The 20,629-nt window shown below is 39.5% G+C and overlaps 1 long non-coding RNA gene and 1 pseudogene across 1 annotated transcript; both read left to right on the top strand.

The window, feature by feature from the left end:
• Nucleotides 1-255: 255 nt before the first annotated feature.
• Nucleotides 256-3,118, top strand: LOC105371279 (uncharacterized). The gene is made up of 3 exons (XR_933600.3): nucleotides 256-435; nucleotides 2,142-2,266; nucleotides 2,703-3,118. It is a non-coding gene; the product is annotated as an uncharacterized LOC105371279 (long non-coding RNA).
• RPL31P56 (ribosomal protein L31 pseudogene 56) lies at nucleotides 16,751-17,128 on the top strand (annotated as a pseudogene).

Raw genomic sequence — 20,629 nt, 5'->3', positions numbered from 1 at the left:
GAATTGGTGCATCCTCCTCGTGTGTTACTCAAGTTATTTATAATGTGGTTGCAAAATCCCAGCTAGGAACAAAAAGTCAGATTTTTGGTAAACATCGATTAAGCTGTGGCCTCTTGTACTCATTTCTCCTATAGAGGAAAATAGAGCCCCAAGAAAGATCACGTCCTTGCCTCCTTTTGCTGGTAGAGGGCACTTAACAGTCAGATGCTTAAAGGGAAAACATGAATATATTTTATGTGCATTTGAAATAGATATTAACTGAATGCTGCAGGTGATATGGCAGCTGGGAATGCAGGAGAAAAATACTGAAAACTGCTGCCATTTATTGAGTGCCTATTCTCTGCCTGGCTCCTGGAATAATGATAACAATATTTAACATATAATACAGCATGAGCATCATCCAGTTGGAGTGGATGCCAGCCGAAAACACAACTGGTAAGCTTTAGTGGTGCACCAGCCAAGTTTTCAGCCCTGCTTGCTTCTGGAACAGGAAATGCTACGTTTAAGTTTGTTTAATGCTCAATTAAAGGAGCTGCATTCGCCCGGGCTGCTAATGCATTTGATTATTTCTTTTCTCTTTTTTTGTACTCTTAACGTTTTTTAAGTCTTAAAACATCTTGGCTTTTTTTGTTTGTTTGGTTGGTTGGTTTTTGCAAGCCACTTCAAACCTTTTGAGAAGCAGTCAGGGTATCCATTTTAAATAAATACATGATTTTCCTGATCCTGGCCAAATCTCATTACAAAGAAAACCGAGGCACCATCAGATTCCTTTGTTGCCCAGGGGGTTGTCCTATCAATATTGTATAAAGCAGTCAGGTCATTGGCTAGGCTTCAAATTCTTTTTTGTTATTTCGACCGTTTGGGGTAATACTTGTTGTAATGAGAGGCAATCTTTAAAAATAAAATTTCTTTTCATGAGGTTGGTACAAAAAGAGTCTTGCACAGTCGATGACTGACTGTGACAATATTTGGTCCATGGTCTTTGCAGACAAAGAGCTTGGCTGGTCATCATTAACGATGGTGCATGATTGCTACAACTTTTTTTGACAGTCTGCTTTCCGACAGAAACTATAAGCAGCCTATTGTCAACTCGTTTTACTGAGCTCAGGAAATTTCCATTTGTCACTTAACAGCCATGTGTCAGAAGCAAGATGCTTTGAACATGAATTGTGATTTCTTTCAGTTATCTTATGAGAATGCATGTTCTTTCCACTAGCGTGAAATGACCTAATTTTTGAAGTGGTAACCTTTATTAAAAAAAAAAACAATTAACATTCAAGTTTTCATATTTAATACCATCGTAAGTTTTTTTCCTCTAAGAAACCCAATCCCCTTCAAGGCAGTCATTATGCTAGATAAGTATGTGGTGAGCCAGGATATAGAGAGGAAGTGGGAAGTTTCCCTGGACTCAGCAGAAATTTGGTGTCAGAAGCAGAAATAGCCCCTTGTAAGCACATGGCTAATGGTTACATAGCTCTTCCTTTTCTGCATGGGTTCAAGGGGATAGATTTTTACACGAATATGTCATGGCTCCGGACTGAACTGTAAAATTCTAGAGGACAGGGAATAGAACCTATTTGTTTATTTCTCTCTCCAGGACCTAATGAAATAAGTATTTGTTGATTACATGGTAAATTTGGGGATTAGAAATGTCCTTAAAATCTTGATCAAGTTACTTCGAACTCTGGCAACACTTTTATCATATCTGGACTGAGTGTAATAATATTTTAAAGATTAATGAAATGTTGGGCAGCTCTTGTGCTATTTGGCTGTTGCAGGAACTGAGTCATAAGGCAAAAACATTTATAAAATACAAAATAATGATTTATACAGTAAGTTATACTCCCTCAGGCAAAGATGTTACATAAACCACAAGGTATTTGGCCACTGCAACACATGTAAGATGTCTTAAATACCATGAGATTTATAAATATTTTTAATAGTTAAATTTAACTTCGAAAGTTACCTAATATCCAATGAGGTTTGAGATTGGAACTTGTTTTTCTTTTTTGCATTTGAATGTGCTTCATTTAGGTTGATGCAAGCAAGTTAGTGTGGGTGCTTAATAGCATATCATAAAGGATTTAACTTAATTCCACCATAATGAATTAATTCTCTCAGTGACACTGTTTTCATTATAGATTTAATGACATCACCTTGGCCAACATTCAGGAATTCAGAACTCTAAGTTACCCTGAACTATCTAAAAACGAAAATGGAAAGATAATTCTGCTTCATGTCTGGTGTACTCCAACTGTGGATAAGGGTACGTAGAGAATGTCTATTATTTTGAGTAGTTGAGTTAAAAATAAAACTCCTAACACCAGTGAGGAAATTGGATTCCACATTCTCTTAAACTGTCCCAAGGGACATTCATTTTACAAAACATGAAACCAAGAAGAAGAAGAAAGCCCTAGTGTTTCTTTTCATTGGCTTATGTCATGATTATCTGTTGTAAACATAAAAGGATAAATATACAATCTGAAATCATAATTCAGGGACAAGTTTTCGCCAGCGAAGGAAAGGAGGAATGAGTGTAAAAATATTTATGCTGCATTTTCAAGGACTGTGTTTAATTTCCTTTTGGATTTGTTTATTTTGTGGAATTAGAGGGATGTTGCATCCTATTTTTATAGCCTTGTATTGTTATAGGAATGTTTTGGCAGATGCAAAATTAGAAACAAATTTTGTGTGTTCTCTAGTGCCCTTCAGGGCCTTAAAGGACAGGAACAAAGTATGGCAGTTTGTCATCAGAGCTCCAGGAAGCCACGAGGAAACTGAGCTTAGGAACCAAATTGCTCAAAATGGGAAAGAAATGAAGAGATGTACAGCAGATGCTCTCAGCCTGGAAGTGTAACCTTCGGGAAGAAGGAACCACCAGTCATGCTAATTGGTCTTGAACAAGGCTTGTTTGCGCTGAGAGATGAGAGAGAGCACCCCATTTCTTCCTGATTCAGTTCTGTAGACATCTTTCTGGGATTTGCAATTGATAATTATAGACACAGAGATACACTTGGCCTAATTTGCCAGCCTATTTGGAGTCATGAGTGTCACCCTGTATGTCTGGTATATGTGCAGATGGTTTCTGGCGGCTTCAATAAAATCAGAAAACACAAAATCTCTATTTTTTTTTTCCAGACAATTGAAAGGGGCTGGTTGTCAGTGTCCTGGGTGTTGAAATGAAAAATATTATGCTGATTTTTTAGAAGTGTTCCTTATGCTTATAGACCCATAATTTCACTACACTCTGTTATCTAGGCTAAGTGTAGGGGTGAGGAAGTAGAGTCAATCAATACTGGTATCAGGTTGGAATTAGTGAATGCTTTAACGCAGTACATATAATTTCTGATTTCCATTTGTAAACTGAACTCCTGCTTTAATCAGTTCAGTACTTATTAACTCAGCATTTTCCCAACATCACTCATTTGAGTACCACCTTTATGATATTTTTGGCCATGTCTAAGTACTATTTGTACCATCATTTACCTGTTTTTTTAAGCAGACTTAATTTTTAAAAATAAAATAAATGTATTTTAAGAAGAAAGTTTATATCACTTTTATAAAAGGAAACAAACAGTCAAGAAACAAGTACCACCAATACGAAGTAACCATCGAAATAATGGTTGCTTATCTAAGGCTCCCTGAACCTTAGGCATTTTCATTCTTCATGAAAAGGGAGGTTATTCTGTATCAGAAAGGTGTTAAAGCTGTGGTAGTACCAGTGGAGAATATCTCTTTGATAATCAGAGGATGAAAAGAACAGTGAAAAAAGACTAAAGGATTTGACTTTACTCAAAGTGCTCACAGTGGCTGCTTCCTCAGCTGGAACCAAACAAAAATCAACCTTACCCTCAAAGTGCTTATGTCTATTGGGTGAGAAAATACTTGCCCATCAGATTTGAGAATATATTTCTATGTTGTTTTTCAGATATGTGCTAAATTTTGGGGCATGCACTCTAAGTTCTGTAAGAATTTAGAAAATGGTAGGCTAACAGCTCCCGTTTATCGAGTGCTTATGTGAGGGCACTGTGTTGTACGTTTCTCATGTGGGCTCCTATTTAATCCTCACACTAAATCTAATTACACAGGTATCCCACTTTACAGATGTGGAAACTGAGGCTAAGAGAAGTTGACTGAGCCAAAGTCACACAGATGACAACCCAATGCAGGCTAACAACAGTGTAGGAAGTCTTCTCTTTTTTTTTTTTTTTTTTTTTTTTGAGACAGCATCTTACTCTGTCACCCAGGCTGGAATGCAGTGGGGTGATCATAGCTTATAGCAGCCTCAAACTCCCGGGCTTAAGAAATCCTCCTGCCTCAGCCTTCCAAGTAATTGGGACTGCAAGCGTATACCACCACACCTGGCTAATTTTTTAATGTTTTTGTAGAGATGGGGCCTCATTACATTGCCCAGGCTGGTCTTGAACTTCTGGGCTTAAGCAATCCTCTCATCTCGGCCTCCCAAAGTTCTGGGATTATAGGCGTGAGCCACCATGCCCAGCCAGGAAGTCTTAATATCTACATCGTACCACAGATAAAGCTCATTTATGTTGATATTTTGTTTCTAGGAAAATATATGCTTCCTTTTAGAAAAGATCTTGCCCTCTGTATTGGTTAGCTATCACCACAACAGTGCTGCATAACACACCATGCCAAAACTCAGTGGCTTAAAACAGCAAACATTTCTTATTGCTCACAGATCTGTAAGCCAACTGGAGAGATTTAGTGAAAGGCTCAGCAGCTGAGCCGGCTCTGCACCGCATGCCTCTCATCCTCCTCCTGGGACCAGCAGGCTAGCCAGGGTAAGACCTTCCTAGGGTGACGTCAGAGAAGCAAAAGAAGATGCCTAACTTTACAACCACAGCCATGCAAGCGCATTACAAGCTGCTGGTGGCATCATGGCTGTGAACATCCCATTGGCCAAAGCAACTCACAGGGCTGAGCCCAAAATCAAAGACAAGACAATATGCTTCACCTTTAGCAGAAGAGACAACAAATGCGTGACAAAGGGCACAGACGCAGGGAGAGGTGATGCATCAGGGCCAGCGAGGCAGTCTCCTTCTTTTTAATTCTCCCTGTCACTTTATTGGCAACTTGTTTATCTTAGATGCAAGGAATATCGCAACCCAACCCCAGTTCAATAGCTAGAATATTGCACTACAGAAAGCTACAATACTGTACTACTGAATGCTATACAGTAGTCCCCGTTATTCATGGGGATACATTCCAAGACCTTCAGTGGATGCCTGAATATATATAGTACAAAATTCTATATATACTGCGCTTTTTCCTAAACATACATACTTACGATAAAGTTTCATTTATAAATTAGGCACAGTAAGACATTAACAAAAATAACTAATAATAAGATAGATCAACTATAACAATATGCTGTCATGAAAGTTATGTGAATATGGCCTCTCTCTCCCTCAAAATATCTTATTGTATTGTACCCAAGGTAACTGAAACCATGGAAAGCAAAACCAGGATAAGGGAGACTCCTGTAGTTACTAAGTATCTAAAGGAGTTGTCTTTGTTTCCATTACAAGGAAACTGAAGTTCAAGGAGAGAAAATGCCTTTCCCAGGGTGTCGGCAGAGAGTGGGGCAGACTCGAGTCTTTCAGCCTCTGTCTAGCCTGTCTTCCACTCTACAAATTCAGTAAGATCAGAACCAGTGAATTTTTCTTTAACAAAACAAGGGACTTATTGAACTCCTCAGAGGAACAAGATGTCTTATTTGAGTTAAAAGAGCAGCATCATAAAAATGTTTACAGAAATTACTGTAAAGATATTTTGGATTCCTCCCTCTGTTGTAACTAGATTGTAATTAGATGTTGCACGTGAACCCAGGCTCACATCTAAGCGAATACTTTCTGAGATTCATTTGTACTACTTTAAACTACTTTAAAAGTAAAAATATTAGTAAATCCATTTATATAATAGCACATATAATAGTGATTTCTATAACAGCAAAAATGTATAGCAAAGCAAAGGTCTAACAATACGGACCATTTAAGTAAGTGATGGTTATATATAACCATTTCAACAATGCAAAAATACTTGTGATAAAATTAAATAAAAAATAAGGTATAAAACTATATGCATCCTTAATCACAACATGAAAATGCAAACAAAATTTCCAAAGTCCAACACCAAATCATAAATGTGAAAAAGCTAGAAAAAAAAAACCCTGCACCATTTCTGTGACTCACTATATTTTAATCCCTGCAATAAAATATGCCAGTTTTATTTACACTTGGAACATGAAAACTTTTTCATTTTAGGCCTTGGTAGTATTTTATGTTTCTTTCATTGATAAAATAGTTAATTTCACTTTATTTAGGTGAATTTATTTACATGAATTACTCAAGATTCACCCCTTGTAAAGCTAGAAAAGGAAACAGCATGTCGACAGGGAGACATGAGTCTCCCCCAGGTATTGAGGCCTGCTTTGGCAGAGAAAGACCTTGGACCCAGGGCCTGAAGATCGAGTGTGTCCTCTCCCCAGACAAACCCTCCCTGGTATATAGCGGCTTGTCGCCAGTCCAGATGATGCAGCCAGGACATTTGCATCCTCTGGCACCTGCACAATCAATACCATCTTACTGCTCAAGCTGTGAGCAGTCGGTCTTGTAGCATTGAAGCTATTTAGAACCCCTGCCAGAAGACAGAAGACAGGGACCACATGTCAGGGCAGAATCAGAAAACTTTCAGAACTGGAAAGACCTAAGAGATTATCTCAGTTTCTCACTTTCAGGTGTGGAAAGAAGCCCAGAGAGATACAGTGTCTTGCCCAAGGTAGCACAGCTTATGAGTGGTTGGGCAGAGGCTTGATTTAGTTGTTATTTGTGGAGATACTGTTCTTCTTTCCATAGGGAGAGCTCCTGGATGGCTGACTTTCTGCTGATTTCATCTCTGCCATCTCTATTAACTTATTAGTGTCTTTAGAACTGACACAAGGATTCCCAGCTGCTCTGTGAGTTACTCCCAAGGTACTCAGCACAGTCCCTGTGCCTACAGCAGGAAGGACTTGATAAATGTGAACTGCAACTTGTCCTTACATTTGCACTGCACTTTGCGGGTTTAAAAAGCATTTTATAACTGAAATTGTGTGCCATAGACTCAGTAATTCCGCATTCCTTTAGAATGACTTCAAATGACACAAAATAGTAAATATACATTTTAAAATATTAAAACACAAGGATGTTCATGACAGTGATTTTCATAATAGCACAAAGCTTGTAACAAAGCAAAGGTCCAACAATAGAGATTGTTTTAGTAAATGGTGGTTATGCATAGGCATTTCAATGATGCAAAAACACTTATGTGATAAAATTAAATACAAAGTAAGATATAAAACTATATGCACCCTTGATGTCAACATGAAAATACAAAAAAAATTTTTTTTTTCAAAAATTCTAATCCCAAATCACATATGTTAAAAAGCTAGAAGAAAAAATATTGGTTGTTTTAGAGTGGGTAGATTGTGGGTAAGCGTTTTTAAAAACTGTGTTTGGGGGCTGTTCTTGTTTAATGAGTGTTTATAATAGAGTCAACCTCTTATTTCAAAATAAAATCATACCACCTTTATTATCTCATTTGATCACTGCAGTTTCAGATAAAGCACACTTTATCATGCCCAATTATATAAACAATGCAACTGGGGCTCAGAGATTTTTTTTAAAACTTAGCCCTTCTAGTAAGTGTTGGAGATGAAATTTACACTAAGATTTCTGAACTCCTCCGCCAGTGCTCTTTTACAGCCTCCTCTGCCTGGTTGGTTTATGTTGGCGATTATATTTGCTCTTCATTGACTCTGTCATTCTCTTCAGTTTTACCCAACAGCACAGCATGCTTTGTGGCAACTACAAAAATCTGCCCTGTAGTCCCATCATACTGGCTGAGTGATAGGACCTTTCCTGTATCCCTGTCTCTTTATCTCCATAATGATATGCTTTTCTTAGTAGCAACATGTTTAGCTGTGTTGGCTAAGGAACTCACCAGGAAAGCTCTTTTAAAATACTTTTTTTCAAAACCTGGAGCAGAGACGGAGTATTAGAAGCTCTGTAAGATAGCTGTTATTATTATTATTTTTTTTGAGACAGAGTTTTGCTCTTGTCACCCAGGCTGGAGTGCAATGGCGTAATCTCGGCTCACTGCAAACTCTGCCTCCCGGGTTCAAGCGATTCTCCTGCTTCAGCCTCCGGAGTACCTGGGATTACAGGCACGTGCCACCATGCCCAGCTAATTTTTATATTTTTAGTAGAGACGGGGTTTCGCCATGTTGGCCAGGCTGGTCTCGAACTCCTGACTGCAGGTGATCCACCTGTCTCAGCCTCCCAAAGTGCTGGAATCACAGGCGCAAGCCACTGCGACCAGCCTAAGATAGCTATTATTATTCCTATTGTACAGATGAGGAAGCTGAGGCCCAGAGAGGTTAAGTAAATCTCCCAGGGTCACCTACTTAGTAAAATCCAGCACTGTCAACTCCTAAGTCTACACCCTTGACCACTATTCCAGGATTTCCCAAACATATATGATTATCAGGAACCCAGGTAGTCATGTAAGAATATATAGATTCCAAGCTCTCTCCTCTATCAATTATGATCCAGAGTGAAGCCCAGTAATTTGGATTTTTAACAAATGCATCGGGTGATTCTCATGATTATATAGCTACACTGTCTTATTTTAAGATACCAAACCCAGAGGCTGCCCAGCAAGCACAAACCTCTATTTCTGTCTTATTTTCTCTTTCCTGCACCTGAATTCAGGCTGTGCTTTTAAAATGTGGTCAGCTAAACTCAGCATAGCTGGGAAAATGTGTGGCTGCTGTATTCCCTAAGGAAGAAATGGTAGGTCAAAAATACTCTGTGATTGGGCATTTTTGAGAACACATGTGAAGAAACAAACAAAAAAACCCAAATAAAACCTTAGATTCATAATTGCCACTGGGAATCATTAAAGTTCTACTCAAATATATCAAAGTTTCAGAATATTCCTTAGCCCTAATGTCTTATGGGAGAAGGTGTTATTGTTACTGCCGTCTTTTTTTTTTTTTTTGATTCTCATCTGATTACCAGGATTATGTTAAATAACTTATTTTAGACAACACATTGTGATAAACAAGTCCTAAGCTGAGACTCAGGACATCTGGATATTCCTGCTAAATGTCTATGTGTCCTTCAGGAAAGTGCTCCTCATGCCTGGGTCTCAGTTTTCCAGCCTGTGAAATGGGAGGTAGTTGGACACAATCTTCTCTAAGGCCACTGCTATCTCTGGCTATCACAAATTAAACAAACAAAATAAAACAAATATAAACAAATAAAATCAACGAAGCAAAACAAAAGCTTATGACTGCTCTAACCAGTTCATCAGTGCTCATACGGTTTTCTGAGAAGATATTTAACACATGTTCTTTGAGCTTCTTTTCTGTGCCAGGCAATTGGCACAGGAGTTGGGGATCAAGTGATGAGCCCTCCAGAGAATTCCACTAAAAGAAAACAAAATAATCTGACCTCAAAGTGTCTACAGTCTAGTGGGAGAAAAAGACAATTAATGAATCACAAAAATCAGTACAATACTGGAAGAGGGGCAAGTGCCATGAGACAGAGGGGTTTGGTGCCATGAGCTTGTAAGTCGGGAAGGCTTCCTGGAGGAGGTGATGATGGAGCTGAAAATGGAAAGAGAACTAGCAGTTTATGGCTCATTATGCTTTAGGACATGATAGTCAAATTTGATTTTAAATGAGTGGAAAATCCAGAAGAAAAATAATTCAAAATAAAAATACTCTTTGTTTATAATCAGTAAACTTCTTCCAATTCCAGATTATGACTCTGTACGTGTAGCTTGATCATTCAGGTCTCAGAAATCTGAGCAGCTGGGTGTTGCACACAGCTCGCATCTCACAAGAACTGATTGCTAACTTTTCAGGAAGTGTGCGAGCTGTTGTTAGACATGGCCATTATCATTATTATTATTACTAATTTTTATTTTAAATTCTGGGGTATATGTGCAGGATGTGCAGGTTTGTTACATAGGTAAACATGTGCCATAGTGGTTTGCTGCACCTACCAACCCATCACCTAAGTATTAATCCCAGCATGCATGAGCTATTTTTCCTGATGCTCTCCTTCCTGCCTCAACAACCCACTGACAGACTCCAGTGTGTGTTGTTCCCCTCCCTGTGTCTATGTGTTCTCATTGTTCAGCTCCCACTTATGAGTGACATGTGGTATTTTGTTTGCTGAGGATAATGGCTTCCAGCTCCATCCATGTCCCTGCAAAGGACATGACCTCATTCCTTTTTATGGCTGAATAGTATTCCATGGTGTATACATACATTTTCTTTATCCAGTCTATCACTGACAGGCATTTGGGTTGATTCTATGTCTTTGCTATTGTGTATAGTGCTGCAGTGAACATATGTGTGCATATATCTTTATAATAGAATGATTTATATTCCTTGGGTATATACCCAGTAACGGGACTGCTGGATCAAATGGTATTTCTGGTTCTAGGTCTTTGAGGAATCGCCACACTGCCTTCCGCAGTGGTTGAACTAATTTACATTCCCACCAACAGTGTAAAAGCATTCCTATCTCTCCACAGCCTCGCCAGCATCTGTTGGTTCTTGACATTTTAGACATGGTCACTATTAAAAATTAAAATACATAACGTTTCAATTAAGTAAGTCATATTAAAAATAAAGATAATCTAGATTCAAAACTCATCACTTTCTATTTTTACCATATTGATGCTTTTGAGATTATTTACAGCTATTGCATCTGTAAGGTGGGAAAGCCATATATGTGTGTATTCTTTCTGCTGTGCACCTCTTCCCAACTACACGATCAGTGATGTCCTGTTTGTAGCCAGCATTCGGCTGTGGTAGGAATATTTACACCACAAATTCAGCAAACACTAGAAATCAGGACTTGCCTTTTCTGCACCCCAGAGAACCAGTCAGGTTTTTTTTAACTTTTATTTTAAGTTCAGGAGTACATGTACAGGTTTATTACATAAGTAACCGTGTGTCACGGGGGTTTGTTGTACAGATTATTTCATCACCAAGGTATCAAGCCTATTACCCAATAGTTATTTTTCCTGATCATCTTCCTCCTCCTACCCTCCACCCTCTGATGGGCCCCAGTGTATGTTGTTTCCCTGTGTGTGTCCATGTGTTCTCATCATTTAGCTCCCACTTATAAGTGAGCACATGAGGTATTTTGTTTTCTGTTCCTGTGTTAGTTTGCTGAGGATAATAGCCTCCAGCTCCATCTACGTCCCTGTAAAGGACATGATTTAGTTCTTTTTATGGCTGCATAGTATTCCATGGTATATATGGACCACACTTTCTTCATCCAATCTATCATTGATGGGCATTTAGATTGATTCCATGTCTTTGCTGTTGTGAATAGTGCTGCAATGAACATACACATGCGCGTGTCTTTATAACAGAGGAATGTATTGTCCTTTTGGTATATATCCAATAATGGGATTACTGGGTCAAATGGAATTTCTGTCTTTAGGTCTTTGAGGAATTGCCACATTGTCTTCCACAATGGCTGAACTAATTTACACTCCCAACAGTGTATCAGTGTTCATTTTTCTCTGCATCCTCCCCATTATCTATTATTTTTTTGACGTTTTAATTATAGCCATTCTTACAAGAACCAGTCCATTGTTAAATCACCATTGCCTGGAGGTGTTCTTTAGGGCCACTCACTCCAGTTGGCCATTGAGTTATTAGGTCAAGTCAGTGAACTGCCATGGGGAAAACCAAGAAGAGGGGTCGCAGCCCAGTCCTGGAGGAATGCACAATCACCTTCAGTCACATTTGGAAGATGGAGCTTGACCCCAGTAGGGAAGAGAACAGGATTGAGATATTACCATGCTCTCAGGGGATTTCAGAAGTGGCCTTCTGACTTGGTTGAGGCTGGCATCACTGGGCAGTTTGCTGGACGGTGGGTGGCCCTGCAACAGAGGCCAATGAGTGAGCTGACATTTACTCTGTGCTGGAAAAAAATGTAGAGGCCAATAGGTGAGAGACAAAAAGGAAGAAAGTGGGCAGTCGCTGAGGAGGAAAGATACAAGAAGAGGTTTATGGCAATCTCACCCAGGGGAAGTTTATTAACCATGATTTTCAAAAAAGATATTATAGTAATTCAAGATAATGGTTAGAATTGTTATACAAGCAGCAGGATTTATAAGAAATGAAAAGTAGTCACCTCCTTCTGTCCCACTCCCTAGCTGTTGTTTTCAGATATTTTCATGCAGATGTCTTCTTTCTTTCTCTCCCTACCTTCTGCCTTCTGCCAACTCTCAATGCGTTATTTCATAACTTACTTTTATTTCCACTTAAGGATGCAGCTAGGCTTTGTAGCTAGGCAGTGCAATCTTGTGGTTAGAGAATGGTTCTGGCTCTAGACAGCGTTAGCCCATCGACCTACCAGAAGTATAACCCTAGACAAAGTATTCTCCTTTTTATGACTCAGTTTCCTAATGTATAAAATGAGAACAGAGTAAAAGTGTCTCTCTCACAGGGCTTTGTGAGAATTCTATTAATTAATACATGTTAAGCATTAAATTGGAGCTGACATGTGTTACCTTTCTATGGCGGATAATTTATCTCACTTTAATTTTTACGTCATTTACCATTCTATTTTATGAATGTGCTAAAGTAGATTTAAGTAGCCTCCTTTTAATAGACATGCAGGTTGTTTTCCAGTTTTTGCTACTACAAACACAAACAGTACTGCAGTATGTTCTTATGCAAATATATTTGTGTAATTGTGTGAGTTCATGCATAAGAAAAAAATTCCCAGAAATGAAACTACCAGATCAAAGGTATTGTGTATTATCTATATCTATTTCTCTCTCTCTCTCTCTCTCTCTCTCTCTCTCTCTCTCTCTCTATATATATATATATATATATATATATATATATATATATATATATGTATATATGGTTTTTTTTCTTCTTTTTTTAAACAGAGTCTTGCTCTGTCACCCAGGCTGGAGTGCAGTGGTGCGATCTTGGCTCACTGCAGCATCTGCCTCCTGGGTTCAAGTAATTCTCCTGCCTCAGCTATTCTCAGTAGCTGGGATTACGAGTATGTGCCACCACACACAGCTAATTTTTTTTTTTTTTTTTTTGAGACGGAGTCTTGCTCTGTCGCTAGGCTGGAGTGCAGTGACGTGATCTCAGCTCACTGCAACCTCCACCTCCCAGGTTCAAGCTATTCCCCTGCCTCAGCCTCCTGAGTAGCTGGGACTACAGGTGCATGCCACCACGCCTGGCTAATTTTTTTGTATTTTAGTAGATACTGGATTTCACCCTGTTGGCCAGGATGGTCTCGATCTCCTGACCTCGTGATCTGTCTGCCTCAGCCTCCCAAAGTGCTGGGATTACAGGCGTTAGCCACCATGCCTGATCAAAGCTGTGTATATTTTAACATTTGATAGATATTACCAAATTTACACTAAATAAGTTTGCAACAAATATATGTTTTCCAAATAGAATTTGAGAACATCTATTGCATTTCAAAGGCAATACCTCTGGACACTATCCAATCTTTCCATCTTTACCAATACAGTAATTTTTAAAAATGATAACTTATTGTTTACATTTTCCAAATTACTAACAAGTTTAACCATCTAATCATATTTTATTATCTATTACTACTTCTTTTGAAGGAAACATAAAATATCTATATACTTTGCCCATTTATTTGCATTTTTGCAGATTGTCTTCTGATTTATTTTTTCATGACAGAGAATAGTTTTATTTTTCTGTGGTCAGATTTACCAATCTTTTGATAGTTTCTGGGTGTTATGTAACACTTCAAAAAGGCCTTCCACTGTGCTTTTATTAAAACAAATGTATTTAGATTTCCTTTTAGTACTTTTATGGTTTCATATTTTATATCTAAATATTTGAGACATCTGTAAGTAGTTAGAAGTGCATTAATGATTAATTTCATTTTTTCCAAATATTGAGTCAGCTTTCTCAGCATCATTTATTGAATAAGCCATAGTTTCTCCATCAACTTGAAATGCCACTTTTATTTTTTATAAGATCCTCACACGTTATTTAGCTTAACTCTTCCTAATTCTCTTTCATTGTTCTGCCTCCTGAGCTCTGCAGTAGCACCATACTGTTTTAAATACTGCAGCTTTATAATACATTTTAAAATATAGTAGTACTAGTGCCTTCATTAATTTCATTTTCAGAATTTTCCTGGCTCTCTTATATGATTGTTTTTCCATGCAAATTTTGATATCCTTATGTCAAGTTGCTTCAAAAAAACTCTATCAAAATTTTAACTAGTGATAACCTCCTTCTTGGAAAGGCTCTTTCTGACCCACCTTCTCTTTTATTCCTCATAATAATGCTAGCCATGCCAAGCTGCCTTTACAGGGGAAGGACCTGAGGCTCTGAGAAGTGATGACATTGGCCCATAGTCACCCAGGTAACATGGGTGCCAAGTCGTAAGATCAAACCCAGGTTTTCTGGCTCCAATCTAGTGCCCTTTTCATCACCCCCAGAGAAATACAAACGAGGAATCATTCTGAGAAGCGAGGAGGAAAATATATTCATCTCTGTAGAGAGCCTAAAAAAGAACTAATCAATCTGAACTCATTCAGAATCCAGGTGTATGCTGAGTTGTGCAACACATCTTGTCAAATGAAACCGCCTGTCTACCTGCATTGTACAATCTTGAACTTCCTCAGCTTAGTCCCCATGAATGACTATGGAGCAATTTGTAACACAAAGTGGCATAGGACTTCATATTAATATTATGTGTTAGGTGCAACCACACTACTGCTTTGAGCTACTTACTAAAGATGGTGAAAAAAAATGTTGAGACTTTGATCTCATGTTTTAAATCTGGCCATTATAAATAGATAGAATTTCAGCTTAAATATACTAATGATTTTTTTCACTATGCAAATTATACTGGTTCCTTAGCAACAGAACAGATAAGTGTTTCCTTTCTAATTCTGTGTATGTTAGTTTAGAGAAGGCACACAATAAGTTAATTAGAGAGTGGTTGGGGGTGACTTGTAAATGTCATATGAACATGCTGCTTGCCTTTATAGCACTCGAAGACTTTTAAATGTGTGGGTTCCATTTCTGGCATGGTTGGCGTACTTTTTGTCTCTAGAACCTTTTTCCAACTAACATTTGGAATAAAGATTTGAAAGTGGTATGTGGTGTCTTTGGTTGTAACTTCTAATTACAGATGTGCTCAGTTTTGGGGAAGACAGATATATAAAAATCTAACCAGAAAATAAGAGAAATCAGGGCATGGTTAGAATCCCAGGGTATCAGAGGTATTATTTACACAGTAGTACCTCCTTATCCTTGGTGGGGGGGTATGTTCCAAGACCCCCAGTGGATGGCTGAAACTGCAGATTATACTGAACCTTATATACAGAATATTGTATCATTATTAGGTTGAGAACTTTCACCTTTTCACTTAAAGAAAGCACTTTATGGCTTCTCTTTTGCATATCCAAATTGCCAGCATCACTACTTTTGTGCTTTGGGGCCATTATTAAGTAAAATAAGGGTTACTTAAGTATAAACTCCACCGTGATACCTCAAAAGTCCATAGTCAATTTGATAACCCAGACAATTTAGCAACTAACAGGCTGGGAGTGGTTACAGCATAGATATGCTAGAAAAAGGGATGATTTCTACACCCTGGGCAGAAAAGAGCAGGGTGCTAGAAGATTCCATTATGTTACTCAGAATTGCTTGCAACTTAAAACATATGAGTGGCTTATTTCTGGAATTTTCCACTGAATATATTTGGACCACCATTGATTGAGGGTAACTGAAACCATGGAAAACAAAACCATGGATAAAGTGGGACTTCTGTAAATCTCTCATTTTACTGGGGAGAGGACTGGGGTTTAGAGTGAACAAATGTTTTACCCAAGAGACTAGTGTCTATACTTGGCTGAGCTTCTAGTCAAACCTAGGACTCTTGTATTTGTCAGCATGGATGTCATGAGAAAATACCATAGAGTGAAATTTATTTTCTCACAGTTCTTGAGGATGGGAAGTCCAAGATCAAGGTGCCAGCATGGTTGGTTTCTGGTGAGGGCCCTCTTCCTGGCTTGTAGACAGCTACTTTCTCCTCACATGGTGGATGGAGGCAGGGAGACAGAAAGAGAGAAAGAGGGCAAGCTTTCTAATGTCTCTTCTTATAAGGGCACTGACCCCATCAAGAAGGCACCACCCTCACAGCCTCATCGAATCCTAAGTATCTCCCTAAGGCCCCATCTCGAAATACCATCACATTAGGTAGTTTAGGACTTCAGCATATGGATTCAGGGGGATTCAAAACATTCAACCTACAGCAACTCCCTATTGTGTTTGCTATCCCCCTTTTATATCCTAAGGCTTGCTTGCCTTAGGATAACGAACTCTTTAGTGTCTGTTGTTAAGGGTTTGTTTATATTTCTGCCTGTTTCCAATTCATCTTGGACTTGATTTCTGCCAATGCCACCCTGTGTTCCATCTTCTCATTATGGTTGAGCTGGCCTGTATCGTATCTGATTCTTGAACTGTTTTCCGAGAAGGGATAGAGAGAGATGGTGTGCTAACGGGAGAAATTCTATAATATCCTGAATAAATTCTAAGATAGAAAACCTAAAAAGAGCTTTGAGAAAAAAACAACATCAATTAATTTATTAAAATTATAACATAGTCCAACCTGGTGCCTGGAAGACTGGACCAGTGGCGAGAAGAAGGACTGTTCTGCCATCAGTGGGTTGGTGATCAGAGAACATCAATATTCACAGGTGCACCCAGGGAGTGGGCTTCAAGAAGTGAGCCTCTTGGGCACTTTAAAAAGGTATGGAAATTTTCCATGAAGAAGATAGGAACTCTAAATATGTGCACTGATACTGAGCTCAACAAAGCTATTGGGGCTAAAGGAATAAGGAACATCCCATACCACATCCATGTGTGGTTGTCGAGAAAAATTAATGAGGATGAAAATTCACCAAACAAGCTCTGTACATTGGTTACCTATGTACCTGTCATCACTTAAAAATCTACAGACAGTCAATGTGGATGAGAACTAACCACGTTTTATCGAATAAAGTTATAAAACCACACACAAAAAATAAAATAATAACTAGTCTCCTATTTTGATTATTTCAATTGCACAATTTAAGTTTTGACATATGTTTACATATGATGAAACCACTACTTTTACATTGATCATTAAAAAGCTTAAGGCAAAGACTTCCTTTATATTTTACAACATCTAGCAGAGTAAAGAAGAATAGTTAATTTGACAGTGATACAAACTTTCTATTGAGAGACGAAATCAAATTTTCTGTTAGGAATGCATTTAGCTGCAAGTAACAGAAAACTCAACTAATAGTGGCTTAAATCATACGGACAATTATTAACTTTACAGTGAGTCTGGATGTATGCAGTTTCAGTAATTGTTTAGAATATAAATGATGTCAGGCTTACCCTCTTGGTCCCTGTTGGCGCCACTGCCCCAGGCCTCATGACCTCACATGGCCTGTCCAAAGGCCAGAAACACAGGAAGCCAGAGGCAAGAGGACTCTGTATGCATCTCTTTCCTTTTATCAGGAAAGAGAAATCATTCTCAGGAGCCTCAGGGGGTGTTCTGTTACATCTCATTTGCCACCACAAAGCCAACCTTTAATGTAGAGGAGGCTGAGAAAGCCTTTATGCTGGGACGCCACTGGGGAAAAAGGGGCTTGGGTGTGCTGCTGACTGGCAACCAGTTGTGACATGCTGGATCTGCTAGCAGAATGCCTGGCCCCGGTCCCTTGACACTCACCATCCCAGTATACATAAACTGGGTTCTACTGGGAGAGACTGGGGACTTTCTCTTGGCACAAGTAGGCAGGCCCTTAATGCTGAGAAGTTACACCCCTGGGAGCAGCCCCAAGTCATCGACAAATTGTAGATGGAGGACATACCCCAGCTTCCTTACCCTTGAGTGGGGCAACTCCAAGGAATATTTCACCTGTTTCCTGGTAGTTTTCAGTGGGAAGGAGCCCCAATTGCCCTTAGGGGTCACATGGTCCTCTGAATTAGCTTTCTCATCTTCTGTCTCTTGTTTCTTCACCCCACACCAGTATTTACTGAGATCATCTTCCCAATAAACCACTTGTGTTCAAGTCTTGTCTTAAGGTTCAGCTTCCAGGAGACATTCAGCCCAAGATACTAGATATGTGAACCTCTTTACCTTCAGTTCTTCTAATTGTGGAAGAGAGATAATCCTACCCAGGTAGGCCAGTTATGAGAGTCAATGACAAAACATATGTAAAAATACATTGCAAATTGCAAAGCATGAAATGGACGCAGGAATAATGTGAGCTGGAAAACAATGTGCTTTTTCACTCAGGCCATCAGTTTAGATTCCACTGATGTAATTTCACCAATATTTGTCAAGGACTGAGTCTTTGGGCAGAGACTCCTTCTTCTGACAGGTAAAGGAGGTTTGATTGCTAAAGTGGTACTTTCTCTCAATGTCCACTAAGAGCCTTGCTTTTATGCCTGTTACTGCACTAGGATTCAAATTAGCTATTATTCTTTAGAGATGGGGGGTGGTGATGAAATAGTCTGCACTCTTGCATTACAGTTTATAATATTCAGTGTATTGACCAAGATAAACAGCTAATTCTCTGTCAAGTTACTCAACTGGAAATCTCTTGGGGTTGCCTCAAAACTTTACCCCTGGTTTCATTTTCTCCCCAGGAAAATACAAGTACTTTGATATATTGGATACAATCACTTTAATGAAGCCAGGCTTTTAAAAATAAGAAGCAAAGCCATCTATTTCCATGCTGTTGAAACTTTCTTCTCATATGGCTTGAGGTTTCGTGTGTGTGTGTGTGTGTGTGTGTGTGTGTGTGTGTGTGTTTTCTTGACCTCCAAACTGGGAAGCTATGGGCTGTCTTCTTTTAACTCCTAGAGTTTTCTCAGTGCTTTTCTTCTGATCTCCTAAGTTGGCCTGTGCTATATTCAGGCTGGCTGTATCTAGTCTAGCTGTTTCTGATAGTAGCACCTGTGTTAGATATTTTTTATCTGCCCCTTCAGATCCATTCTCTGCCATTCTTTGTCCTTCCCTGTGTCCCTGAAGATTGATCTCTATAGACTGCATCACCAGCTCCCTTGATCTCTGGATTTCTATTGGAAGGTGCTGGCAGGGGTTTGGAGGGCATGAGAGAGGTATGGGTATTCAGAACCCTGATACCTTTGGGGCTGAGTTGCTATTGGCAGTGGCCTCTTCCTCTACTTACTACCCCAGCTCCTGTCCAGGCAACCTATCTACTTCTGTCTCATATTCTACTAATATTCCCTCTCCTGGCTCCTTCAGGCCCTGGGGAAGTAACGGCTTCCCATTGTTGCTGGTCTCTGGGTGCTTCCCCACTCCTGGTTGGCTCCCTTAGACCACACTTCTGTAACAGCACTATATTGAACTCTCCCCAGTCACCCCTTCAAGGGTGCCTTCTGCACTCTACTGTCTCAGAAAGCATACCAATTTCCTTCTAAGAAGTTACCTTTCTCCATCTAGATAGAGCTAGTGGGACATCGAGGGATCCTGCCTTTCTTCAGCCAAGATGAGGATGTTGTGTAGGAACATGTGGCTTAAGCAAGTCCAGCCAGATGCTCTGTTTCTGGAATTCAAACCAAGAGCAGAGCAGTCACAAATCTGAGCACAGCTGAAGCTCAGTTTTCTGGCAGCAAAACCAGAGAGGCTGATGAGAAGCTCTTATTACTCAGAAATCCAGAGCTGCTGTGGTCAGTGGTTTTCCAGGCCTGATCCTGATGGAGGCAGCATTCCTCTCCATCCTCTGAGCCTCTCTGGAACCATCCAATCAATTTCTTTCTTTCTTTTTTTTTTTTTCTCTAGTGAGCTGGTGTAGATTTCTGTTGCTTACTACCAGATAATCTTCACTGATCTACGTCCCAAGCAGCTCTTCCAGAAATTGCCTTCCCCAATCATCCACATGGATTCACCCAGAGGCCCTACCCTTGTTTCTTGATCCTTTTGCTGGACTTTAATTATTGCACTTAGTATTAATAGTTGCTACTTTTGACAGCTTCCATCCTGCTATTCTCATGTGCACCCACATCATATGACAGTGGCTTTTCCTGATAATTTTCAGGGATCTCCCCCCGACCCTTTTTTTTTTCTTTTTTTGAGATGGAGTCTCACTCTGTCACCAGGCTGGAGTGCAGTGGCATGATCTCGGCTCACTGCAACCTCCGCCTCCCAGGTTCAAGCAATTCTCCTGCCTCAGTCTCCCGAGTAGCTGGGACTACAGGCATGTGCCACCATGCCCAGCTAATTTTTGTATTTTTTAGTAGAGACGGGGTTTCACCATGTTGGCCTGGATGGTCTCGATCTTTTGACCTTGTGATCCACCTGCCTCAGCCTCCCAGAGTGCTGGGATTACAGGATCTCCTCTTTTTGCAATTGCTAGTCTTTAACTGTGGTTCTTGTTTATGCATTCAGGACCAAAGACCTGAGTCCTACCAACCAATGCCAAACAATAACGAGGGAGTCTGTGCCCTAAATTAGTTGAAACCTGTAGTCCTTACATATAAATCTTGCCCCGA

The sequence above is a fragment of the Homo sapiens genome, chromosome 16, assembly GCF_000001405.40.
Source record: "Homo sapiens chromosome 16, GRCh38.p14 Primary Assembly".
In the NCBI taxonomy this organism is placed as follows: Eukaryota; Metazoa; Chordata; class Mammalia; order Primates; family Hominidae; genus Homo; species Homo sapiens.
The sequence above is the reverse complement of the archived record's forward strand: the minus strand, read 5'-3'. Positions and strand labels throughout refer to the sequence as shown.